This window comes from Homo sapiens, chromosome 9, assembly GCF_000001405.40.
Source record: "Homo sapiens chromosome 9, GRCh38.p14 Primary Assembly".
Taxonomy (NCBI): domain Eukaryota; kingdom Metazoa; phylum Chordata; class Mammalia; order Primates; family Hominidae; genus Homo; species Homo sapiens.
The window spans coordinates 128,528,098-128,554,274 of NC_000009.12; the positions used below are offsets into that span (position 1 = coordinate 128,528,098).

At 46.7% G+C, this 26,177-nt stretch overlaps 2 protein-coding genes, 1 long non-coding RNA gene and 1 pseudogene across 40 annotated transcripts in view, besides 1 other annotated feature; 3 read left to right on the plus strand and 1 right to left on the minus strand.

Annotated features, from left to right (window-relative positions):
* Positions 1-14,191, plus strand: part of GLE1 (GLE1 RNA export mediator) — a 37,597-nt gene extending 23,406 nt beyond the window's left edge. For 5 of the 10 annotated variants that reach the window (XM_006717060.4, XM_024447519.2, NM_001003722.2 and 2 more), the window contains 7 exons: positions 5,416-5,558; positions 5,664-5,854; positions 8,258-8,387; positions 9,889-9,993; positions 11,519-11,601; positions 12,178-12,241; positions 13,005-14,191. In XM_006717060.4, coding sequence (XP_006717123.1) covers positions 5,416-5,558; positions 5,664-5,854; positions 8,258-8,387; positions 9,889-9,993; positions 11,519-11,601; positions 12,178-12,241; positions 13,005-13,073 — 785 coding nt within the window. In that variant the 3' untranslated portion in view covers positions 13,074-14,191. Of the gene's footprint in view, positions 1-4,567; positions 4,595-5,415; positions 5,559-5,663; positions 5,855-8,257; positions 8,388-9,888; positions 9,994-11,518; positions 11,781-12,177; positions 12,242-13,004 lie in introns of those variants that run through there. The other 5 variants (NM_001411013.1, XM_011518549.2, XM_011518550.2 and 2 more) reach the window with 2 other exon arrangements.
* On the minus strand, positions 514-24,316 carry LOC101929270 (uncharacterized). The gene is made up of 4 exons (NR_188457.1): positions 24,271-24,316; positions 15,282-15,587; positions 8,730-8,858; positions 514-903 (listed from the first exon to the last, which is right to left on the minus strand). It is a non-coding gene; the product is annotated as an uncharacterized LOC101929270 (long non-coding RNA).
* On the plus strand, positions 15,820-15,876 carry RNU7-171P (RNA, U7 small nuclear 171 pseudogene; annotated as a pseudogene).
* Positions 24,134-24,903: a silencer, noted in NCBI's record as "silent region_20345". NCBI's record gives its function as "represses an Ori minimal core promoter by ATAC-STARR-seq in GM12878 lymphoblastoid cells {active_cell/tissue: GM12878}" and the evidence as "EXISTENCE:reporter gene assay evidence [ECO:0000049][PMID:35858748]".
* The window catches only part of SPTAN1 (spectrin alpha, non-erythrocytic 1), an 81,076-nt gene continuing 79,388 nt past the window's right edge, over positions 24,490-26,177 (plus strand). For 25 of the 29 annotated variants that reach the window (XM_047423783.1, NM_001438440.1, XM_047423790.1 and 22 more), the window contains exon 1: positions 24,490-24,599. The gene's annotated coding sequence lies outside the window, so the exon portion shown is untranslated. Of the gene's footprint in view, positions 25,215-26,177 lie in introns of all 29 variants that reach the window. The other 4 variants (NM_001375318.1, NM_001375312.2, NM_001375311.2 and 1 more) reach the window with 1 other exon arrangement.

Sequence of the window (26,177 nt, forward strand, 5' to 3'; positions counted from 1 at the left end):
CACGCTGTTCTATTCTCCTCCCTCAGCCTTCTGAGTAGCTGGGACTACAGGCGCCCACCACCATACCCGGCTAATTTTTTGTATTTTTAGTAGAGACGGGGTTTCACTGTGTTAGCCAGGATGTTCTTAATCTCCTGACCTGGTGATCCACCTGCCTCGGCCTCCCAAAGGGCTGGGATTACAGGCGTGAGCCACTGTGCCCAGCCCCCTTTTTTTTTTTTTTTGAGATGTAGTCTTGCTCTGTCACCCAGACTGGAGTGCAGTGGCGCAATCTCGGCTCACTGCAAGCTCTGCCTCCCGGGTTCACGCCATTCTCCTGCCTCAGCCTCCCAAGTAGCTGGGACTACAGCTGCCCGCCACCACGCCCAGCTAATTTTTTGTATTTTTAGTAGACACGGGGTTTCACCGTGTTAACCAGGATGGTCTCGACCTCCTGACCTTGTGATCCGCCCGCCTCAGCTTCCCAAAGCGCTGGGATTACAGGCGTGAGTCACTGCACCCGGCCTTTTTGACTCATTTTTAACAAGCTACCTTTTATGGCAAATTATTAGGATGGCTCTTAGCTTTGAAGTTGCAGTTTACTGCTGAAAACATCACTCAGGGAACCTAGGCTGTGACTTGCAGGCTTTGCTTCTGTCCTACAACATTAGCTTTTCCAAATTACTCCAAGCTCGCCTTGTTCATCCTCCAGGACTCCTTTTCTCTCCAGAGACTGAGGTTTAGAAAGTGAGAACCAGACAAGGAAGAAACTTCTTTAGAACCAGAGGTTCATTTGTATGGAGCTGTAGATGTGGAAGCCTCCAGATTATAGACTGAGCTGCCAGGTGGCTGGGGAGTGTGTGTGCAACTGGAACACTCCTCTGACGCATCGTGGGTTCCGTTCCCCGACTCACTTCTCATTGCCTGGAAAGCATAGGAAAATTTCAGTTCCTGCCCTTGATAGGCAGTCCAGCAAAACTTACATATGACTTTGCTGCCTGAAATTCTTTCTGGAACAGGGCAAGGTATAAATAAATAAATAACATATCACTTTTTGGAATTTAAAGTGCTGTGTCCTTTGATAGCAACAGCAAAGCAAGAGAGGTTGACTGGACAGCCACTCCACACCTCGATGGCCGTTCCCAGTTCCCCTCTGTTGACTGCAGACAGGGTCAGTACCTCCTTCATCAGGAAAATGGAGACATCCAGTGTGAGCTCCTCAGAGCCCCTCCACCACTGCACAGTGACATTTACCTCTTAGTCTCCTGTGTCACTGGATGAGGCGTCCTTGCTGCTGGGCTTACCCTTCCACCTCTGCCCTTGTTCCCTTTCCTTCCTGTCTCCTGTCAGACTGCCTCATCGTTTATTGCCTTTCCTGTTTTCTGTGATTACTCCTTTTTATAGGCTCCTCTCTCTCAGCCTGTAAATATATGTGAGCCCCTCACATCCTAACATGAGTCTCCCTTGATCCTATGTCTTCTAAGTGTTTGCTGATCTTCCTGAGGTTTCTGTTCGGCACTGTTGCTGCTTTCTCTGTGCAACTCTACTCCTTTGGCCTCCATGGTGCCATTACTTTCCAGGTTCTTCTCCTCCCTCCCTCACTACCCTTTCCTCTCTCTCTCTCCCTCTCTCCCTCTCTCTCTCTCCCCTTTGTGGGTTTCTTAGTCTTCTACCCCACTCTAATTGTAGGTGATTCCTAGGGATCTACTCTTTTTTTTTTTTGAGAGTCTCGCTCTTTCGCCCAGGCTGGAGTGCAGTGGCACTATATCGGCTCAGTGCAAGCTCCACCTCCCGGGTTCACGCCATTCTCCTGCCTCAGCCTCCCGAGTAGCTGGGACTGCAGGCGCCTGCCACCACGCCCGGCTAATTTTTTGTATTTTTAGTAGAGACCAGGTTTCAACGTGTTAGCCAGGATTTCAACGTGTTAGCCAGGATGGTCTCGATCTTCTGACCTCATGATCTGCCCACCTCGGCCTCCCAAAGTGCTGGGATTACAGGCATGAGCCACTGTGCCCGGCTGGGATCTACTCTTATCCTGCAGTTCTTTTCGTTCTCTCTACTTACAGGGCTTCAAACATTACCTGAATGCTGATGACTCCCAAACCTACCTCTGGTTTATTCCTTTCTTCTGAGCTTCAGATTCTCCAGCTTCAGCTACCTGAGGGACATCTCTGCCTATATGTCTCTTAGCTGCCTCAAGTTTAATGTGTTCAAATCCAAACCCATCATCTTCCTTAGCCCTCTTTGTCTGCTGTTTTCTCTTGAGTAATCAGTAGCACCATTATCTACTCAGTAATCTTAGCTGGAAACCTGGGAGTCATCTTTATGACTGCTGCCTCTCTTTCACTCACCACATCGAATTAGTCTATATCTTTGCCTTTTTTAATTTTTCTACACATTTCCTGACTCTCCCTTTGTCTCCATCAAGACTTTAAGTCCTTTAAGATCTTGTAGTCCAGCCAGACACAGAACATGCTCTAGTTAGTGCTCAGTAAGCGTTTAATGAATAGGAGGGAAGGATCACCTAATTCTTCTCTTTTTTAAAAAGGTGGGCCGGGCGCGGTGGTTCACGCCTGTAATCCCAGCACTTTGGGAGGCCGAGCCTGGCGGGTCACCAGGTCAGGAGATCGAGACCATCCTGGCTAACACGGTGAAACCCTGTCTCTACTAAAAATACAAAAAATTAGCTGGGCGTGGTGGCAGGCACCTGTAGTCCTAGCTACTCCGGAGGCTGAGGCAGGAAAATGGCATGAACCCGGGAGGCGGAGCTTGCAGTGCGCCGAGATAGCACCACTGCACTCCGTCCTGGGTGAAAGAGCGAGATTCCGTCTCAAAAAAAAAAAAAAGGTGGGCCGGGCACAGTGGCTCACGCCTGTAATCCTGTAATCCCAGCACTTTGGGAGGCTGAGGCGGGTGGATCACAAGGTCAGGAGTTCGAGATCAGCCTGACCAATATGGAGAAACCCTGTGTCTACTAAAAATACAAAATTAGCTGGGCATGGTGGTGCATGCCTGTAATCCCAGCTACTCAGGAGGCTGAGGCAGGAGGATCTCTTGAACCCAGGAGGCAGAAGTTGCGGTGATCTGAGATCACGCCATTGCACTCCAGTCTGGGCAAAAAGAGCAAAACTCCATCTCAAAAAAAAAAAAAAAAAAAAAGGTGGATGTCAGCTGGGCCCAGTGGCTCACACTTGTAGTCCCAGCACTTTAGGCGGCTGAGGTGGGTGAATCATAGGAGGTCAGGAGTTCAAGACCAGCCTGGCCAATGTGGTGAAACCCCATCTCTACTAAAATACAAATATTAGCCAGATGTGGTGGCAGGCGCCTGTAATCCCAGCTACTCGGGAGGCTGAGGCAGGAAAATCACTTCAACCCAGGAGCGGAGGTTGCAGTAAGCCAAGATCGTGCCATTGTACTCCAGCCTGGGTGACAGAGTGAGACTTCATCTCAAAAAAAAAAAAAAAAGTGGATGTCGCCGGGTGTGGTGGCTCACACCTGTAATCCCAGCATTTTGAGAGGATGAGGCAGACAGATCACTTGAGGTCAGGAGTTTGAGATCAGGCTGGCCAACATGGTGAAACCCCGTGTCTACTAAAAATACAAAAATTAGCCGGGCGTGGTGGCACACACCTGTAGTCCCAGCTACTTGGGAGGCTGAGGTGGAAGAATCACTTGAACCCGGAAGGCAGAGGTTGCAGTGAGGTGACATCGAACCACTGCACTCTAGCCTGGGTGACAGAGTGAGACTCCAGCTCAAAAAAAAAAAAAAAAAAAAAGATGGATGTCCATGAGTGGTTAGAATTAGAAGAAATCTTAAATAAGGACATGATGTTGCTGTGGCATGGGGAGGCCACGTCAGTCTAGGGTTGGAAGCTAACTAACTTTCCTCCTACCTAGAGAGGTATGGAGAGAGGCTAGATGCTAGATGGGGCATTCAGCCAGTGGGGTCCACATGGTTGGCTTTTTTTTTTTTTGATAAGAGAACTGAATGACAGGATATTTCTGAAACTTTTGTGACATTTCTTGAAGTGATTAGGAACTTGACAGGGTATTTCTCAACTGGAGATGCTGTATTAATTAAAACATTGACTTCAGGACTTCAGGTAATGGAAAGTAATTCAGATCTGCTTTGCTTTTTTTTTTTTTTTTTTTTTTTTTTTAGGGAGGAGATGGAGTCTTGCTTTGTCACCCAGGCTGGAGTGCAGTGGCACAATCTCGGCTCACTGTAACCTGCGCTTCCTGGGTTCAAACGATTCTCCTGCCTCAGCCTCCCCGAGTAGCTGGGATTACAGGCACCCGCCACCACACCTGGCTAATTTTTGCATTTTTAGTAGAGACGAGGTATCACCATGTTGGTCAGGCTGGTCTCGAACTCCTGACCACAAGTGATCTGCCTGCCTTGGCCTCCCAAAGTGCTGGCCCAGATCTGCTTAAGCAAAAAAAAAAAAGCATTTATTGGAAAGATAAAGAAATATCCTACAGAACCCAGTGGCAGGAATGAGGTGAGGTCTCAGGAGCTAGAAACTTTAGTTCTTTTTTCCTCTCTCATCTCATCTGTCCTCTCTACATCTCCATTCTTATTTTATAGATTGCCGTTCTTTGGTCTTCATGGCAGGTACGCAGCCCCCACTGCTTGTGAGTGTATGTGACACAGGGCCAGCTACCTCAAGGAAGTGACTCTTAGTTGACTGACTGGCTCAGCTTGACTGCCTCTAATCTAACTGTAGCTAGTGTGGGGGTGGAGCACACAAAATCTTTGGTACAAATATAGCTGTTACGAATCCACTTCTGTGTCTCTGAGGACGGAAGAAGGCAAGTCCTGAGAAGGGGGCATATCATCATGAGCTGGTTAGATCCTTTAGAAGGTTTTTCCTAGAGATGTGACTAACTCCTCTAGAGATACCAACCACAGTCCATGGGGTCTGTAACAAAATGTAACACCTCTTTCTATACTGTTTATCCCTTCATTTTATGTGTACAGTAAGGGATACTGTTTATCCCTTCATTTCTGTAGGGCAGCACAGCTGGGTTTTTGTAGATGCTTTGTAATTACAATGATGAAACAGGCTGGGCATGGTGGCTCACGCCTGTAATCCCAGCACTTTGGGAGGCCAAAGCGGGCGGATCACTTGAGGTCAGCAGTTAGAGACCAGCCTGGCCAACATGGTGAAATCCCATCTCTACAAAAAAAAAAAAATACAAAACTTAGCCCAGTGTGGTGGCGGGCGTCTGTGATCCCAGCTACTCAGGAGGCTGAGGCAGAGAATTGCTTCAACTCGGGAGACGGAGGTTGCAGTGAGCCAAGATTGTGCCACTGCACTCCAGCCTGGGCAGTAGAGTGATACTGTCTCAAAAAAAAAAAAAAAAAAAAAAAAAGGAAAAGAAAAAGAGATTGATCTGTGGTTATATCTTTTAATTTCTCTCTATCATGCTCAGGCTCAAAACTGAAGGAGATCTTTGACAAGATCCACAGCCTGCTCTCTGGAAAACCTGTTCAATCTGGTGGGCGCTCTGTGTCTGTCACACTTAACCCACAGGGGCTGGACTTTGTTCAATACAAACTGGCAGAGAAATTTGTGGTGAGAAACCTTGTTGCTAGAGGTATGGGAAGCAGAGGCTGGTGTACAAGATTTCAGCCTTTTTCTGGTATTAAGTTAAAATTGTACCCACCTCTATGTTCTCAGAAACAAGGCGAGGAGGAAGTGGCCTCTCACCATGAAGCAGCATTCCCCATTGCAGTTGTGGCATCCGGGATCTGGGAGCTCCACCCCAGAGTGGGGGACCTCATTCTTGCTCATCTACATAAGAAGTGTCCTTACTCTGTTCCTTTCTATCCCACTTTCAAGGAGGGAATGGCTTTGGAAGACTATCAGAGGTAAAGTTGTTTTTCTCCCTACTCACTATCCCTAGAGTGATTAATGAAATATAAATAGAATTGGAATTTGTTTTTCCCTCCTCACAGCTCCTATTACGTACCTTGAATGTTCTATCAGAAATATAATGTCTTTCGGCCGGGTGCAGTGGCTCATGCCTGTAATCCCAACATTTTGGGAGGCCAAGTTGGGTGGATTGCCTGAGCTCAGGAGTTTGAGACCAGCCTGGGCAACATGGAGAAACGCCATCTCTACTAAAAATACCAAAAATTAGCCAGGTGTAATGGTGCACACCTGTAGTCCCAGCTACTCAGGAGGCTGAGGCACGAGAATTGCTTGAACCCGGAAGGCGGAGGTCGCAGTGAGCCAAGATCGCACCAGTATACTCCAGCCTGGGTGACACAGCAAGAGTGTGTCTCAAAAAAGAAAGAAAAAATATATATACATAGTCTTTTATGTAAACTGGAGAGCCTTTGGGATTTGTGAACTTAGGTGCCAGTAGTCAATGTAGTTTAGTGGAAAGGATACTGGGGTCTTGGAATTTTATCCCTGCTTTGTCATTTAATACCTTTGCAAAAATGGACAAATCATTTAGTCTTTTTGAGCATCTTTTCCTGATTTTTAAATGAGGGTAATGACATCTATTACCTCCTGTGAATTTACCTCATGGCTTACATGAAGCTCAGATTTGATGATGGATATGAGTGCTTGGTAAACAAAGTATTCTACAGATGTAATAATATGTAATAATATATATACATATTTTTTATTTTTTTTATTTTTTTTTGAGACAGCGTCTCGCTTTGTCACCCAGGCTGGAGTGCAGTGGCGTGATCTCAGCTCACTGCAACCTCTGCCTCCTGGGTTCAAGTGATTATCCTGCCTCAGCCTCCCGAGTAGCTGGGACTACAGGCGCCCACCACCACGCCCAGCTAATTTTTATACTTTTAATAGAGATGGGGTTTCACCATGTTGGCCAGGATGGTCTCGATCTCTTGACCTTGTGATCTGCCCGCCTTGGCCTCCCAAAGTGCTGGGATTACAGGCGTGAGCCACCACGCCCGGCCTGTAATAATATATTAATAGTAATGCTGAGTGTAATAATATATTGTTATTTTTTAGCCATAAAAAGTAATCTCTGGGCCAGGTGCAGTGCCTCATGCCTGTAATTACTTTAACAATTTGGGAGGTTGAAGCAGAAGGATCGCTTGAGCCCAGGAGTTCAAGACCAGCCTGGGTAACATAGTGAGACCCTGTCTCTACAAAATTAGCCAGGTGTTGGCTGGGCGCGGTGGCTCACGCCTGTAATCCCAGCACTTTGGGAAGCCAAGGCCGCCAAAGCGGGCGGATCACCTGAGGCCAAGAGTTTGAGACCAGCCTGGCCAATATGGGGAAAACCCGTTTCTACTAAAAATACAAAAAATTAGCTGGGCATGGTGGCAGGCACCTGTAATCCCAGCCACTCAGGAGGTTGAGGCAGGAAAATCGCTTGTACCCAGGAGGTGGAGGTTGCACTGAGCCGAGATCATGCCATTGCACTCCAGCCTGGGCAACAAGAGTGAAACTCTGTCTCAAAAAAAAAAAAAAAAGGCCAGGCGCGGTGGCTCACATTTGTAATCCCAGCACTTTGTGAGGCTGAGGCGGGCAGATCACCTGAGGTCAATAGTTCAAGACCAGCCTGGCCAACATGGTGAAACCCTGTCTCTACTAAAAATACAAAAAATTAGCCAGGTGTGGTGGCAGGTGCCTTAATCACAGCTACTCGGGAGGCAGAGGCAGAAGAATCGCTTGAACCCGAGAGGCGGAGATTGCCTGAGATCGTGCTATTGCTTTCTAGCCTGGGCGACAAGATGGAAATTCCATCTCAAAAAAAAAAATTAGCCGGCTATGGTGGCATGTGCCTGTGGTCCTAGCTACTCAGGAGGCTGAGGCGGGAGGATCACTTGAACCTGGGTGGTGAAGTTTGCAGTGAGCCTTGATCATACCACTGTACTCCAGCCTGGGTGACAGAGACTCTGTTTCCCAAAAAAAAGCAATTTATCTCTAATTTGTCACCCTTATTTTGGCCTTGTCCCAGTGAATTTTTTCTTATTTCTTTTTTTTGAGACACAGTCTTACTGTTACCCAGGCTGGAGTGCAGTGATGCAATCTTGACTCACTGCAACCTCCACCTCCCAGGTTCAAGCAATTCTCATGCCTCAGCCTCCCAATTAGCTGGGACAAACAGGCATGCACCACCATACCCAGTTAATTTTTGTATTTTTAGTAGAGATGGGGTTTCACCACATTGGCCAGGCTAGTCTTGAACTCCTGGCCTCAAGTGATCTGCCCACCTTGGCCTCCCAAAGTGCTGGGATTACAAGCGTGAGCCACCACACCCGGCCAAATTTTTTCTTCCCGTATAGGATGCTTGGTTACCAAGTAAAGGATTCCAAAGTGGAGCAGCAAGACAACTTTCTAAAACGCATGTCAGGGATGATCCGTCTCTACGCTGCTATCATCCAGCTCCGGTGGCCATATGGAAACCGACAGGAGGTAGGTAAAAGAGGCTTACTGTCAATAATGAGAGGTTAGACCACAGTCCATGTGTATTCCTCCCACAGGAAATGTTGGCCTTCTTTCAGAGAGCCAGTCTAGTTAAAGGATAAACTATATGGCAGTTTCATGGGTATTATGTAGAGGACTGAATGTTGATTATTAGGGAACTTTCTTGGATCACCTGGTACTTTAAAGAGCTGGTTTTGTAACAGAGTCTACCAGAGGAGAGTCTGTTATAAATCAGTCATTAAGGTTAGAAGATTTTCTTACAAGAGGAATGAGCAAGAAATTGTCATCTTAGAACTAGTTGAGACCTTAGAAGCCATCTAGATCACATACCTTACTTCACAGATGGACAGAACAAGCTCAGAAAGCTGCAGCTGGGGTTCAGGGCTTTGACTTGCCAGCCCAATTAATTTCTCAGGGAATACAGATTAGAAGGACAGAGAAATTAATAGTTACGGAGACCTAAAGAGAAAAAATAGAAGTTGATTAAATCCAAGTTTTTATTGTATGCCTGCTGTGTCCCAGGTTCTGTGCTAAAGGTACCAAGAATAATAAATAAAATGTCAATAAGGCTAATTGTTACCCTATGGAATGCCTGAAACTGAAGCTGACACATGCATATTGAAGGGAGCCTATAAAGAATGTGTGGGAACCAATGTATTGAAACATTAAAAAATAGAAGGCGAGGTAGCTTCAGGCCTGATATCCCAGCACTTTGGGAGGCTGAGGTGGGTGGATCACCTAAGGTCAGGAGTTCAAGACCAGCCTGGCCAACATGGTGAAACCCCGTCTCTACTAAAAATACAAAAATTAGCTGGGCATGGTGGTGGGCACCTGTAATTCCAGCTACTTGGGAGGCTGAGGCACGAGAATCGCTTTAACCCAGGAGGCAGAGGTGGCAATGAGCCGAGATCACGCCATTGCACTCCAGCCTGGGCAACAAGAGCAAAACTCTCCCTCAAAAAAAAAAAAAAAAAAAAAAAAAGAATGTGTGGGAACCAATGTACTGAAACATTTAAATACAGAAGGCTGGGCGAGGTAGATTCATGCCTGTAATCCCAGCCCTTTAGGAAGCCGAGACAGGTGGGTCATTTGACTCCAGGAGTTTGAGACCAGCCTGGGCAACAAGGTGAAACCATGTCTCTAAATAAAATACAAAAAAATTAGCTGAGCACGGTGGCATGTGCATGCCTGTAGTCCCAGCTACTTGGGAGACTGAAGTGGAAGAATCACTTGAGCCCAGGAGGTGAAGGCTGCAGTGATCCATGATCGCACTATAGCACTCCAACCTGGACAACAAAGTGAGACCCTGTCTCAAAAAAATAAAAGAAAAACAGAATTTGTTTAGTTTGTGTTATTTCTGCCCTGTGGCAGGTGCTAGGGCTGGATGATCTGGGGTTCATTTCCACTTGGTAATGGCTGGATGATACACTGGGAGTTTAGATTTCTAAACAAAATGAGATCAATGATAACCAAGCTTCTCTACTCCCAGATTCACCCTCATGGCTTAAATCATGGATGGCGCTGGTTGGCACAGATCTTAAACATGGAGCCCTTGTCAGATGTGACAGCCACCCTCCTCTTTGACTTCCTGGAGGTACGTAACTCAGTTATCACACAAGAGAAGGCCAGTGGTTGAGGTAGCCTTGATCCACTGGGTGACATGAATGGGGAAACAGCATAGCATTTGGGCCTGATAGTAAAACAGCATGAGGTTCCAGTGTCATACATTTTTCCCAAGCTGTAGACCAACCTTGCTTTCACTTTTACTCCATACTATATTTACTTGGCTTCTCTGGATTTTTTTCATTATAAAGAACAGAAAATTGTACATTCTAGCAAAAGTGAAAAGAGGAATTTGTTTTAGGGATATAGAAGGGACTCCCAGGCCGGGTGCGGTGGATCACACCTGTAATCCCAGCACTTTGGGAGGCCAAGGTGGGCGGATGACATGGGGTCAGGAGTTCGAGCCCAGCTGGTCAGTATATTGAAACCCTGTCTGTACTAAAAATACAAATAAAGGCCGGGCACGGTGGCTCACGCCTGTAATCCCAGCACTTTGGGAGGCCGAGGTGGTTGGATTACCTGAAGTCATGAGTTCAAGACGAGCCTGTCCAACATGGTGAAACCCCGTCTCTACTAAAAATAAAAAATCAGCCGGGTGTGATGGTGCACACCTGTCATCCCAGCTACCGAGGAGGCTGAGGCAGGAGAATCGCTTGAACAGGATCTCACTCTGTCAGCCAGGCTGGAGTGCATTAGTGTGATCATAGCTCACTGTAGCCTCAAACTCTTGGGCTCAAGCGATCCTCCCACCTAACCCTGCCAAAGTGTTGAGATTACAGGAGTGAGCCATTGCACTCAGCCAAGAAGACACTTCTTATAGAAGAAAGCCTTGGGGTACATGCCATAACAAATCTGGAACCATTTGATCTATAGTGCCAATAGTTCCTAGTTACCTTAATAGCTCCTGACGTCAGCCAGGTGCAGTGGCTGACAGCCTTTGGGAGGCCAAGGCAGGCGGATCACTTGAGCTCTGGAGTTCAAGACCAGCCAGGGCAATATGGTGAAACCCTATATCTACCAAAAAAATACAAAAATTAGTGGTGTGTGCCTGTGGTCCCAGTTACTGAGGAGGCTGAGGTTGGAGGATCACCTGAGCCCAGGGAGGTTGAGGCTACAGTGAGCTGTGATCATGCCAGTGTCCTCTAGCCTGGGCGACAGAGTGAGACCCTATTTCAAAAAAAAATAAAAAGCTCCTGAAGTCACCATACATGAACAATGATCCTGTATCATTTGAGAACACAAGTGGTATTCTGTATACTCTCCTTACTAAGTTTGGGAGGTATACCATACCTTTAGGAAGGCGTCCATTCATTAGAGGAAAAGAAGAGTAGTTCATTAAGACCTGATTGGTTAAATGGAGATATTGCCATATAAAGAGAAATGCTTTAGAAGAAAGTTGGGTGTTTCCATTTATTCCCTTGTTAGCAAGTTCAGTGGCATTGTGGTTGAAATTTTTGATAGGTGTGAAAGATGAAGGGCTGATTGTGCTTTATGAATCTGTCCTGTGAGTGTGAATTTTCATTTTCTGCTCTGACAGTGCCTGTCTTTCCCTCTAGGTGTGTGGGAATGCCCTCATGAAGCAATACCAGGTTCAGTTCTGGAAGATGCTAATTCTCATCAAAGAGGACTACTTTCCCAGGTATCAGGCTTGTTGAGCAGACAGCAGGGGATTAAGTAACTCATAACCAGGCCTCAGATACCCAAGGGTGCTATTACCTGCTGGTTTTGATTCAAGTTAAAAACACCTGTACTAAGTATGACATCTTTCCTACTCCAGTCCCTCTCGTTGATATTTGAATAAATGCTTTTGAACCTTAATGAGAGTCTGTCTTAAATATCATTGCCCAAACAAAAACACAAATTAGGGGCTGAGCACAGTGGCTTATGCCTATAATTATGCCTATAATTGCAGCTCTTTGGGAGGCCACAGGAGGAGGATCACTTGAGCCCAGGTGTTCAAAACCAGCCTGGGCAATATAGCAAGACCCCATCTCTACAAAAAAAAAATTAGCCAGGCATGATGGCATGCATCTATAGTCCCAGCTACTAGGGAAGCTGAGACAGGAGGATCGCTTGAGCCCAAGAGTTCAAGGCCTCGGTGAGCTATGATCGCACCACCGCGCTGCACTCCAGCCTAGGTGACAGAGTGAGACACCGTTTCCAAAAGATAGGTGTATATCATAGGTGTGATTCATGTGTCTTTCTCTCCCTGTAGAATTGAAGCTATCACAAGCTCAGGACAGATGGGCTCCTTCATACGCCTCAAGCAGTTCTTGGAGGTAAGATGCCCTTAGACCAACATGCCCCACACTGTTGTTGGGCTGGAATGCACCTATGTCTGACAAGTCTTGGACCTTCCGATGCTCTGATTGCACTCTCTTCCTTAGTTCTTCCAAACCCTTCTTTTTGTTCCTAATTCCCTCTTAACCTTTGGAGTAAGGGCTGCCATTTCCTCTTCTTTATATGTATCATTCTCTATACTGCCTGTGAGAAAGCTATGCTGAGATGAGTAAAATATATTTAGTGTATCTCCTCTCATTAATATATATTTTTTTTGCATGTTGGCCAAGGTTATTTTCTTAGTCTCAGGTCTGGGGAATTGGTAAGTGTCATCACTTTTCTCCATGAGATCAAACTGCACTTTCAGTTGGACTCTTCCCCTACTTCCAAGTGCCAAGAGATTGTAAAAGGTTAATTTTGACAAAGAATTTAGAACACTATAGTGGGTTTGCCAAGATAGCCTGCTGACTTTTCAGCTTCTCAAAGCTCGATTGTGAAAATAGTGATTGTGAAAGATGAGGTTAGCCTGTAGGGAGACAAGAGTGGGACAGGAATAATAAGAGCATTTCATTTGTTGTCTGGAGCAGATCATGCAGAAGTGGACATCTTATACAGAACCATCAGTCTTACTGGCTTTTTCCTTTTTGTTCACTGTTCCATAGGGCTGAAATATGGTGTTCCTCAAAGCTTCTTTTAACCATTAAGTGTTGGGAACACTGTTATCAGAAACTCATTCTGTTTTCTTCATCTTTCCCTGACCAGAAATGTTTGCAACACAAGGACATTCCTGTCCCCAAGGGCTTTCTGACTTCCTCCTTCTGGCGCTCCTGATGTCACTCCATCACCCACCATCACCGCTGCTGCAAAGAGGCAATAATAAAGGAACTGAAGACAGCTGTATTTGGGAGAAGTCATGTCAGATTCAGAAATTTGCCATTATGTATTTTTATGTATTTATGCCTTGTGACTAGGAGAGGAGATTTTCATGGGTCACAAAATTCTTGGAGGTCCCTTAGTAGATTTGGTAGTTCCTTAAGAGATCCACGTGATAAAATAAATGGAGTTGGCCTTTCTTGTTTTTTGCAAAAGTGATAAAAGGTCTTTAGCACTTGGTCTCCTCCCTTGTCTCTAGTGTCTTTCAGAAAGTTGGCAATACCTTAACAAATGCACTCTGAGCTGGAGGGAGCCCACCATTTGCACCCACCTACCCACCCTCACCCCTGTTCAGATGAATTTCCAGAAAGAGCTAAGGCTCATAAGGTTCCCTTTTAAGTATTATTTAATAGTTGAGGCCAGATACTTACATGCAAGTCTGGGTTATGGTTGTTTTGCCTTTCTCAGCTTGTGAAGTCATTCTAAAGCTAGAGGAAGTATGTGATATACACATGGACTAAGGCTCAGGTGACACTATGGCTAGATTAACATCTGGGATTAGGACTGGAAACACATGTCATTTTGAACTAAGGGAAACTCTTTGTCATCCTAATTTGGAATTTGGTCCCTGGATGGCTAGGGATCCATGAACCAGGCAGGTACCTTTTTTGTTTTTGTTTTGTTTTGTTTCTTTTCTGTTTGAATTAAGATGGGCTAAGATGGGGCTTGCAACATTAAACATGAGCTGAGCATCCATAAGCATTGAATTGGGATTAAATAAAGATGTTGGGCAGGAACTGAACACTGCTAATATGATGATAAATATGCCTGACTAAAGCCACTACAGAAATCCAGAGATTGGCTGTTAAAATTTGTTTTGTGGAAAGACTAATTCTCTTTGATACTGCAGAGGCAGTGGCCATGGATCTGTTCCTCTGTGCTAAATGTCTTGTGGCAGGGTGTGTTTGTGGGGGAGTGTTCACTGGTACTCTTGAGTGGCCTGAAGTGACCCATTCTATGAATTGTTAATTAAGGTGCCAAAAAAAATTAATAATAAAGCTTGGTTTTTTGAAAAACCCATTGCTGATATATTGGTTCAATATGATCAATTTCCTCTGCCTTGAGCTATGTAAATCATGATAGTATACAAGTCCAGGTATAGAGCGGTATGCATTTATTCCTTTTGGTCTTCTTGACCTACACCTTGGGAATATTACTTCTTTTTCTGTCATTTCCTTTTTTGGAATTATGTACTAATAACTGACCCTATTTTATCTAGCAAGAGATGTGAAAGTGTATTAAAATCTTTGAAAGACACAATAGGCCGTGCTTAGTGGCTCATGCCTGCAGTCCCAACACTTTGGGAGGCTGAGGTGGGAGGATTGTTTAAGTCCAGGAGTTCAAGACCAGCCTGGGCAACATAGTGAGACCCCCATGTCTAAAACAAATTTTTTTGGCCAGGCGCGGTGGCTCACGTCTTACCAGCCTGGCCAACATGGCAAAACCCTGTCTCCACTAAAATTACAAAAATTAGCTGGGCATGGTGGTGTGTGCCTGTAATCCCAGCTACCCAAGAGGCGGCTGGGGCAGGAGAATTGCTGGAACCCAGGAGGCAGAGGCTGCAGTGAGCCGAGATCACTCCAGCCTGGGCGACAGAGTAAGACTCTGTCTCAAAAAAAAAAAAAATTTTTTTTTAAATTTTTCAGGCATGGTGGCACATGTCTGTAGTCCCAGCTACTCAGGAGGCTAAGGTGGGCAGATCACTTGAGCTTGGGAGGTCGAGGCTGCAGCGAGCTGTGATCATGCCACTGCACTCCAGCCTGGGTGACAGAGCAAGACCCTGTCTCAAAAAAATAAATAAATAAATAAGGTAGACACAATGGAATGAACACTGGGGACGGAGTCAGGAGACCCCGGCTCAAATCACTTTTAGGTTTTTTGGCCTTGGGAAGGTCCTTCACCCGCTCTGAACCTCAGTATCCCCACCTGTAAAACAAAAGAACTGGACATGTCACTGTAGTTTTCAAACTATGCTTGATAGCAGTTCCTTAGCGAAGAGCTTCCCAGCTGGTGTGCCTTGGCATGATGACCTCATTAGCCCTCCCAGACAAGGCCTGTGGTGGGTGAGCCCCCAGGAGCGGTTCCATTCACATTTCCTCTCCTTACCTTTGCCTTAAAAATGGCATAATTCATCCGGGTGTGGTGGCTCATGCCTGTAATCCCAGAACTTCGGGAGGCCGAAGCTAGTGGATCACAAGGTCAGGAGTTCGAGACCAGCCTGGCCAACATGGTGAAACCCCCCCATCTCTACTAAAAATACAAAAATTAGCCGGGCATGGTGGAGCACATCTGTAATCCCAGCTACTCCGGAGGCTGAGGCAGGAGAATTCGCTTGAACCCGGGAGGCAGAGGTTGCGGTGCGCCGAGATCGCGCCACTGCACTCCAGCCTAGGCGACAGAGGAAGACTCTATCTGAAAAAGAAAAGAGAAAAAAAAAAGGCATCATTTTCTAGGTACCGTGACAGGGAATAGGTTGGGAAGCAATGACTTCAGGACAGGGGGATGTTGAGTGAATGGGGCTCAGCCCTGTAGCCAGTCAACATACAGAGGCTTAAAGCAAATTTCCAAAAGGCATCCCTTTTCCTTCAAGATACTACCACCCTCTATTGGACAACTGCCCTGTTAATAACTGTACAAATCTATGAGTGTTACAGCTCTTTTAGAATTTGTCTAGCAGGTTTTCCAATCTTCACTGAAAAGCTTTAAAAAATAAAGTAAAATTATGATGGAGGTCATGGTACCTCCCAGAGTTGTGCAGCTCATGTTTTGCACAACCATTTAGGGGTTCTAATGGAGCTCTGGGATCCTCTCTGCCACAGCCTTTTTGTTTTATGTGCTGTATGATATATTATGGTTCCATGTAAGATTATGTATGGAAAAGTTCATCTGTCAAAAACAAAATGAAAAATCACTGGATGAGATGATCTATAATTTCTCTTCCACTTTGGATTTGTATTACTTCATAGAAAATACCTCTTAGGCTGGGCATGATGGCTCATGCCTGTAACCCTAGCACTTTGGGAGGCCAAGGTGGAAGGATTGCTTGAGCTCAGGAGTTCAAGAGCAGCCTGGGCAACATAGTGAGACCCCATCTCTATTATAAATTTTTAAAATTTTAAATAAATAAATTAAAAAGAAAATTTATGAAATACCTCTTACGATTTTTGAATTATTTGAATATTCTTCCTCTAGTGGTTAGTGGTCTTGCATATGTCATTTGATGCTGGTATTCCTAATGGATTTCAATGGTAAACCAAGAAAGGAGAGCACTGGGAGTCCAGGTTTTTGATACTGACGGATAGAGATAATGATTACTAGATGAGAGATGCAGCTCCTGATGGAAAGTAGCATCAGACTCCTTACAGCAGAATACTAAGGACTGCCTTCGGCTTTAATTCAAATACTCACTTGTCTCCTTTCTTGCTTTCAAACTTGACCTCATTTATCAGGCTGAGGATCCATGTTTTTGTCACATTATTGTCCTGCTAAAGCAAATCTGATGACAAATTAAAAATTCCAAGAGGACAGAAACTCTACACCTCCCTTACATAGAAGAATAGATTTCTGAGGATTTCCCACCCATGTGCTAGGAGCTTTCCCCCTACTTCTCCAGCTTTCTATGATGATAGCAGTGACAAAATTAGGCTTGGACATCTTCTATCTCAGTGTCAGGAAAACCAAAAGCTCCACTAAGAGCCACAGAGCTTCTTACAAGTGCCTATGTCACACCTGGTAATCCCCTTCACTTTTCTTCATCCTGCCTAATGAATTCCTGACATTAGATTTCCAGTGGACCTACAGAGAGTAGATTAAGCCAGGTGCAGTGGTTCACACCTGCAATCCCAGCGACTTGGGAGGCCAAGGCAGGAAGATTACTTGAGCCCAGGAGTTTGAGACCAGCCTGGGCAATACAGTGAGACCCCATCTCTTAAAAAAAAAAAAAAAAAAAAACAAACAAAAACAGCCGGCCGGGTGCAGTGGCTCACGCCTGTAATCCCAGCACTTTGGGAGGCCGAGGCGGGCGGATCATGAGGTCAGGAAATCCAGACCATCCTGGCTAACACGGTGAAACTCCGTGTCTACTAAAAATACAAAAAAAGTAGCCAGGCGTGGCAGCGTGCGCCTGTAGTTCCAGCTGCTGGGGAGGCTGAGGCAGGAGAATGGCGTGAACCTGGGAGGTGGAGCTTGCAGTGAGCCGAGATCACGCCACTGCACTCCAGCCTGGGTGACAGAGCCAGACTCTGTCTCAAAAAAAAAACAAAAACAAACAAAAAAAACAGGTCACACGCCTGTAGTCCCAGCCACTTGAGAGACTGAGGCAGGAGGATTGCTTGAGCCCAGGAGGTTAAGTCTGCAATGAGCCATCATTGTACCACTGTACTTCAGCCTGGGCAACAGAGTGAGACGCTATCTCTAGGGGGAAAAAAAGCAGATTAGAACTATAGTCTTCCTGGCTATGTGATGCATTTACAAAAACACCCATTATAAAGGGATTTATCCTTTCATTTAAAGCCAGCCTCCATTTAAGAAAGTATCAGTTTTTTCCAGAAGGATGTATTCAAGAACTTTTTTTTTCTTTTAGTTCTTTCAGGATATTTATACTCAGTGCAGCATGTGATCCTAGATTGGAACCTGCACTAAAAATAAAGATATTTCTGTGGGTGTGTTTTTTGCTATAAAGGACATTGGAACAATTGGTAAAACTTGAATAAGGCCTGTATATTAGATAATAGTACTGTGTCAACATGCATCTCTTGACTTTGATCATTGTACTGTGGTTATGAAAATGAATGTTCTTATTCTTGGAAAATATACATTGAGGTAAGTGGGCATGATGTCTGCAACTTATTTATTTTTTTGAAACAGAGTCTAGCTCTGTCGCCCAGGCTAGAGTGCAGTAGTGTGATCTCGCTCCCTGCAATCCCTGCCTCCCGGGTTCAAGCGATTCTCCTGCCTCAGCCTCCTGAGTAGCTGAGATTACAGGCACCCACCACACCTAGCTAATTTTTGTATTTTTAGTAGAGACGGGGTTCCGCCATGTTGGCCAGGCTGGTCTTGAACTCCTGACTTCAGGTGATCTGCCCACCTCGGCCTCCCAGAGTGCTGGGATTACAGGCATGAGCCACCACACCCGGCCTGCAACTTATTTTCAAATGACTGGGGGGAGGGGATATATATGTGTATACATATATATGTATACACGTGTGTATGACAATGTATATGTATACAGCTGTTATGTGTGTCTATATATGTAAACATAGAATAATAAAGCAAATGTGGTCAAAGGTTAACAAATGGGGGAATCTGGGTGAAGGGTATATGGGATTTCTTCCCAGTATTCTTGTAACTTTCCTGTAAATTGGAAACTATTTCAAAATTAACAGATACCTCTCTTTTCACCCTGCAAAAAAACATGCTTACAATTCTGATGAGGTGACAAAATCAACCTCTGGAACCTACAACCCTGAAAACAGGACCCTGGTGACTAAGGTTACCTTGAAGCCATCGACCTGTAGCAAGGATGGAATGTTGACTCTAAACATGTTTTCAACATAGGTGACTTGAAGGTAGAATTTTAATTCAATCGAGAATGCGATTTAAGCACCTGGAGCACTTGATGGGTTGAGCTAAAAGTTACAGGAGCACAGATAGACTTATTTCATCTAGTCTAAGTCCAAAGGCCTGACAGCCAGTCAGCTGATGGTTTAAATCCCAGAGTGCTTTTCTGCAGGGTTCAAAAAAAGGGCTTGATAGTCAAATAAGTTTGGCAAGTAATTTTTTTTTTTTTTTTGAGACGGAGTCTCGCTCTGTCGCCAGGCTGTAGCGCAGTGGCACAATCTTGGCTCACTGCAACCTCCACCTCCCAGGTTCAAGCGATCCTCCTGCCTCAGCCTCCCACGTAGCTGGGACTACAGATGCACGCCACCACACCCAGCTAATTTTTGTATTTTTAGTAGAGACGGGGTTTCACCATGTTGGCCAGGATGGTCTACATCTCTTGACCTCGTGATTTGCCCACCTCGGCCTCCCAAAGTACTGGGATTACAGGTGTGAGCCACTGCGCCCGGCCTGAAAATACTATGTTAAAGGTGAAGTAATCAATGATTACTTACCTACTTGGCAGAATGGGCCAGGTGTGGTGGCTCATGCCTGTAATCCCAGCACTTTGGGAGGCCAAGGCGGGCAGATCACCTGCGGTCAGGAGCTCAAGACCAGCCTGGCCAACATGGTGAAACCCTGTCTCTACTAAAAATACACAAAAATTAGCTGGGTGTGGTGGCAGATGCTTGTAATCCCAGCTATTCGGGAGGCTGAGGCAGGAGAATCACTTGAACCCGGGAGGCGGAGTTTGCAGTGAGCTGAGATCATGCCATTGCACTCCAGCTTGGGCAACAAGAGCGAGACTCAGTCTCAAAAAAACAAACAAGAATGGCAGAATGTTGATAACTGTTGGAGCTGGGTGACAGGCCTATGGAAGTTCACTGTATTAGGGTCCCCAGAGAAACAGACCAATAGGAGACGGATGGATGGACAGGGATATGATGAGATTTAATTACGAGGAATTTATTCATGAGATTATGGAGACTGAGAAGTCCCACAATCTGCCATCTGCAAGCTGGAAACCCAGGAAAGCTGGGGTTGAAATTCTAGTCTAGAGACGAGGTTTCATCATGTTGGTCAGGCTGGTCTCGAACTCCTGACCTCAGGTGATCCACCCTCCTTGGCATCCCAAAGTGCTGGGATTACAGGCGTGAGCCACTGCGCCCAGCCTATAATTCTTACTTAAATGGACTGAGTACCATTCATGTAACCTAAAATTCAGTAACACTTCAAATATTTTCTCAAGTCAATAAGTATTATATCATGAATATAGTCTTGAATTTATGAATCGTAATTAATCATTTTTCACTTGGTGACTAGGTTATGCCTAATATATTTTTTTAAATTATTAACATTCTTTTTTTTTTTTTTTTTTTTTTTGAGACAAGGTCTCACTCTATTGCCTGAGCTGGAATGCAGTAGCACAGTCATGGCTCACTGCAGCCTTGACCTCCCGCGCTTAGGTGATCCTCCCACAGCCTCCTGAGTAGCTGGGACTACAGGCGCAAGCCACCACATCTGGCTAATTTTTGCATTTTTTTGTAGAGATGGGGTTTTGCCATGGTGCCCGGGCTGGTCTTAAACTCCTGGGCTCAAGTGATCTGCCTGCCTCAGCCTCCTAAAGTGCTGGGATTGCAGGTGTGAGCCACCACGCCCGTCCTGAATGAAAATGCATCTTGTCCTGCTTAAGGCAGATTTCTAGATGTAACTAACATTGCTGGGTCAAATGGCATGCAAATTTTATATTTTGATCCACATTGCCAACTGCTCTTCCAGAAAGGTTCTACTTACATATACTCAAAATGGGTAAGATTTTCAGGCAGAAAGGAGGCATGAGTGTTGGGAAAGGATGTTCTAATTGGAGGAAAAAATTGTTCACAAAAGCATGGAGTTGGAGAAATAACATGTTTTGGAAAGAGGCTAACCTCAGACCAGTAGAGCAGAACTGTAGGGAATGATGCTGTGAAAAGGTAAATTGGAACAAGATTGTGGAGGCTGCAAATTTCGGCCTATTCCGTAGGCAATGGGAAACAACTGAAACTTGTTGAGAAGGTTTGACGTGATTTGTGAAACTAACTGTAGTAGTGGGTTCAAGGTAAGCAGGAGGGACACGGACTGACCAGGCCTAGCAGGCAGCCCTGCAAGGGAACAGATGTGAAATGACCGGAGCCAGATTACAAGGTCGGATTAGGGGAGGGGAGGGAGGAGTTTACATCTCTGCTGTCACCTGGAGTCTTAAAACCCTGGTAAGGCCACACTCCCAGAGCCTATCAGGCTGCTTCTCTAATGTGGTGCTTGATTTTAGAAGCAGGGGCTTGTGTTTTGCTTTGTCTTTTGATTGTAGTAAAATATATAGAACATAAAAAGTTTAACCTTTTTTTTTTTTTTGAGACGGAGTCTCAATCTGTCGCCCAGTCTGGAGTGCAATGGCGCGATCTTGGCTCACTGCAACCTCCGCCTCCCGGGTTCAAGCGACTCTCCTGCCTCAGCCTCCCGAGTAGCTGGGATTACAGGTGTGCACCACCACACCCGATTAATTTTTGTATTTTTAGTAGAGGCAGGGTTTCACCATGTTGGCCAGGATGGTCTCAAGCTCCTGACCGCAAGTGATCCGCCCGCCTCAGCCTCCCAAAGTGCTGGGATTACAGGCGTGAGCCACCAAGCCCTGCCTAACCATTTGTAAGTGTACAGTTCTGTGGCATTATGTACAGTCACAGTGTTGTGCAACCATCACCACCATCCTCTCCAGAACTCTCTTTCACCATCCCAGACGGAAACTTTCCCACTAAACAATAATAACCCATTCCTCCCTCCCCTCAGACCCTGGTAACAACAGTTTTTTCTGTCTCTATGAATCTGACAATTTTAGGGATCTCATATAAGTGGAATGGTCATACAGTATTCATCCTTATGTGTCTGGCGTATTTCACTTAGCATAAAGCCTTCAAGGTTCATCCAGGCACTGTGATTTGAAGAGCTGTGTTATTTCTTGCCAGCTCTGACACTGCAGAATGTCATATGGGAAGTGCAGTCCACTTGCCAGCATGACTCTTCCCAATCAGCTCCCTTCTAGGGAAGAAAAATAGTGGAAGTGCTTGCCTGTTATCTTTGCAGGGGGTGAGACAGGGTGTGGAGGGGAGGGGAGGGGAAGGGGTCTCTCCCAGGGAGAGTGGGCAAGTGACTTTCCCTGGCTGGAACATATGGACACATCACCACAATTAGTGTGTTTTCCAACAGTTGACCTTTTCAACAACCTGAAAAAGTATTGGGACTATCTAGACGCTTAAGCTTAGGGTGCCTATCAAACCTTCTGAGGATTGCTGAAACTAGAAAAAGGAGTTGAGAATTCAGTCCAACCCTCTGCTTTTTAGGAGGCCAGGAGAGGTGTGACTGAGAACATGGAGTTGATTGGTTACAAAGTCGTTACACTGTCCTGTGCTTTTTCTGTTGTTGTTTTTTCCCCCAGCTTTCCACACCTACTAGGGTGTTAGGCATATGGTGAAACTGGTGGGAGGTGAGGTAGGCAGACAACAGAACAGTGAAGAATGGCTGGTTTCAAGTGCCAAGTGCAGAGAAGGCAGGGTGAGTGGGTGGGAGGTGGAGAGCGCTGGGGATACTGTTTCTTGGTCATGTCTCAGATCACACAAAGAATCAAATAAGATTTTAGTTTCTCTATCAATACAGAGCTCTCTCTTAGGTCTCCATTTTGCATCCAGCAAAAGCAGCAGAACCCCCAGTTCACTATGGGGCCAGGGTGATTTAATAGAAAAACCCTCCCTTTTGAACAGCTCCTGCCCCTCAGTCCCAAGGTGCTTTCTTTGCTGGAGCAGAAGGTCTTGGAAATTTTAGGGAGCTACAATTGTGTTAGCCATTTTGTACCCAGAGCTGAATATCTGATCAAACATTTTACTGCAACCTGCTGGAGAAGAGGCCACGGATACCATCAGCTGTTCTCAGAAATGCACACTCCAGGGAGGAGTTGCTCAGCGCTGTTTTCTCTACATAGAAGATTGCAGGAAATGCCTCTCAGCTCCTACGTTTCTCCTACACAGATTCTCTAAAGCAGCTTCTGGGGTGTGGTCACTGCTTTTCTCTCCACTCCAATGGAGTGAGTGGGTAGGGAAATTTTTCCTCAGTATCATGGCTACAGCCAGGACAGCTTAGAAACCGTATTGCAGGTCCCAGGCACGGGGAAAGAAGCCAAACTGCAGAGGGCCAGGAAGCTCAGGGCCAGGTCTGGGCCCAGATTCTGGTGCAGTGTCCAATGACTTTATATTTATTTAAAGAGGAGAGCTGCTTGGTAACCAGGAGGCTGAAGCCTTCCTAAGCTGCAGAGCTCCCCGTCTGCCTGACTGCACAGGAATGATCTGGGTGTTACTCCCAGTGGCTGCGGCCCAGCTGTCACCGGAATGGGGATAGGGAAAGGGCTTCCTAATCCAGGGCTTCTGGCTACAGAGTTTAGAGCCAGGACCTTAAACTGCTAGGACTTTAAGTATCAGAAATTCTGAGAATCTTATTTTTCTCTTTCTGCACCCCAGCAGCCACCCGCATCAAAATGCCTCCCTTTCCTATTTGAAGGCAATACACATACGGTTGCAAAGGGAAGGTTCTGACTGCTGAGATGTAAATCCTAGCTCTTCCAATTGGTAGCTGCCTGACCTGGGCCAAGAGACTTAGCCTACATGAGCATTATGTAAGAGTGCCCATTTGTAAAATGGGAAAACATCTCATAAAATTATTGCAAAGATTAAGAAATGAAAAGGTAACACGAAATACTTAGCATAGTGCCTAGTACACAAGGCAAGTTCGATTAATTGTGCCAGAAAGAACCTTAATGTCTTGTTTATGAAATAGGATGAATGTAGCCTATTCCACTGGCGACCTGTGAGAAAGCTTTTGTTGCAGGAATGTAAGAAATTATTATTTTGCCGCTGCCGTTTCCTCCCCCATAATCTCCAAGAACATAAGAAATTAACTCTCCAAATCCCAGAATGACAGCTTTATGCCCCAAATTAGTCGACTTAATTTTTTTTCTGATTCGGATTTGGCCTTTTCCTCTCACCACCTCCTCAAACCCGGGGCCCCAAATCATCCGCGTCTTCTTGACCCCAGCCCCCACCGAATTAGGCTGACTTGGGACCCCAGCGCCAGCCTCCTCCTCGGGAAAGTGAGCAGGAAGAGACGCACTCGGGTGATCTCACCCTTTGGGACTGGGCGTTTTTCCGGCCGGGGCGCGCAGCATCCCCAGCCAGACTGCAGCGATACCCCCGCCCCGCCCTTCTCCGCAGTCCTGGAAGAGCTCCCAGGGCGGAGTGGTGCGATGCAGACGACTGTCCGCAGGGCGGGCGGTGGCGGGGCGCAAGCTGCGGGGAGGGAGGTGAGGCGGGAGCGTCTCTACCGCCAGGGCGTAGGCAGTGACCTCACTGCACCATCACCCCTCACCCCTTGCGCGCGCCCCATTTCCCCATCCTCCCGCGGCCCGCCCCTCGCTCACCTCTTCCCCCGCATTGTCGCTTCGGCTCCTTCCGGGATCGCTCGGCCCTTTCCGCCGGGCGGTCGGGCGGCGAGCCGGCGGGAGCACCGCCCCCTTTGCTCCGCCGGCGCGCTCCCCCACCCCTCGCGCAGCGCCGGGGCGCTTCCCCCGGCGCTCGCGCCCGCCCGCCGCGGGAGCGCGCGTAGCCGCTTATAAAAGAGGCGGGGCGCGCGCGTCGCCGCCACTACCCGCTGCGGAGTGAACGGTGTGGAGCGGAGGCCGCGGAGGCTCCTCGGTCCTTCAGCACCCCTCGGCCCGACGCACCCACGCCCCTCACCCCCCGAGAGCCGGTGAGAGGGGCAGCCGGGGAGCTCCGGGAGGGAGCGGGGCCCCGGGCAGCCGACCCCCGGGTGGGAGCTGGGCAGCTCTTCAGGCGGGGCGGGGCCGGCGCGCGGACAGGTGAGCCGGGCGGGCCGCGGGGCTGCCTCCATTCGGCTGAGTGGGGGAAGCCGCTGCCGCTGCTTTTGTGGCGCGTGGGCTGCGGAGGAGCAGCCGGGCCGAGGCTCGGCGCCGCCGCTGGAATGTCACTGACGGGGGGAGGGGGCGCGAGGCCGCCGGGTCCCTCCCAACCACCCCCAAGCCTGGCTGCGGCGCGGCCCTGCCCTGCCCCATCCGGCTGCGGCAGGTGGGTGGGGGCTCCCTCGTCGGGATCTTCGCCAGCCGCCTCCCTGCAGAACGCTCCCCGCACCGCCCCCGGTCCCTTCCCTCGGCCGGGAGCGACTTCTGCAGCTCGTTCTTCCGAATCGCACCAGCAATGCCGGCCAGCCGTAGAGGGAGGAAGAGCCCGGGGAGCCCGAGCATAGCGTAAACGGCTCTCTGACCTTAATTTCATCCTGCATGGCGAATCTCTGCCGTCTCTCTGAACGCAGAAGGGTCTGAGACTGGCCGTCTCCTTTTCTTTCCTTGTAATAAACATTTTTCTTTCTTCCTAGTTGTGATTTGCTTGTAAATAATAGGTAAATGCAGTGCTTGCATGGTATGTGGCTCAAATCAAATAACTTAATAGCTTAGCGTTCTTGTTTGTGTGTGTGTTTCCTGGGACTGGGTCTTTCGAGTCGAGATACAGTGTCAAAAATTCTACCATACCACTGTTGAATGATAGAACAGTCTTTTGTTTGAAAGCTGTCCCTGAGAATTTGATTAGACGCTTCCCCTAGAACATCGCTTTCAAAAGTCTCTGATGTACTAGAGTAAAATATATTTTAAATAAGCGCCTTGTTAAAAGTTGAATATGTTTTAAATGAAAAGCCTAAATAGCTCAGAAAGCTGGGTTGAGATGATGCTTGAACTGTTCCAACATCTAATCAGATCTCTTTTATATAATAGATCCTAAAATATTTAAGCCCTTTGTTCTGTCTTCATCATGTTATTTTAGAAAAACTTACCATCATGGCTGTTCGGGAAGAACAGGAGAGAGGCCATATGAAGTATTTTCATAATGTGTTGAGAAATTGCGTCGTCATAGCAATTGGCCTTAAGTAAAACAGAATGTATCAAAGATGGAAGGGTGGGGGTGTCTTGGAGCCAGGAAACAGAAAATCTTGGAAATAGCAGGAGGAACACTCAGCTATATGAAGCCATTGAGTCAAGGTTCCGACTCCTTAACTAGTCGTTTATTTTCCCTTTCATTGCAGCTAACTAATGTCTTAGATTTTGAAAGGTCAAATTGAATGTGCTGCGGAGGAAAAAAAAAGTGCTGCAGTAAAGGCCTCTGTGCAGGAAATTAACAATAAGCCTTTTTTAGTAACTGGGCCAATAATTACTCAAAGGGACCCTCAAAGTGTGTTAACTGTTATCCAGGGACCTTGATGGAGAGACTGGAAAGGAGGATTTTTGCTTCATCCTGGACAAGTGTGAAGCAGTTCTTA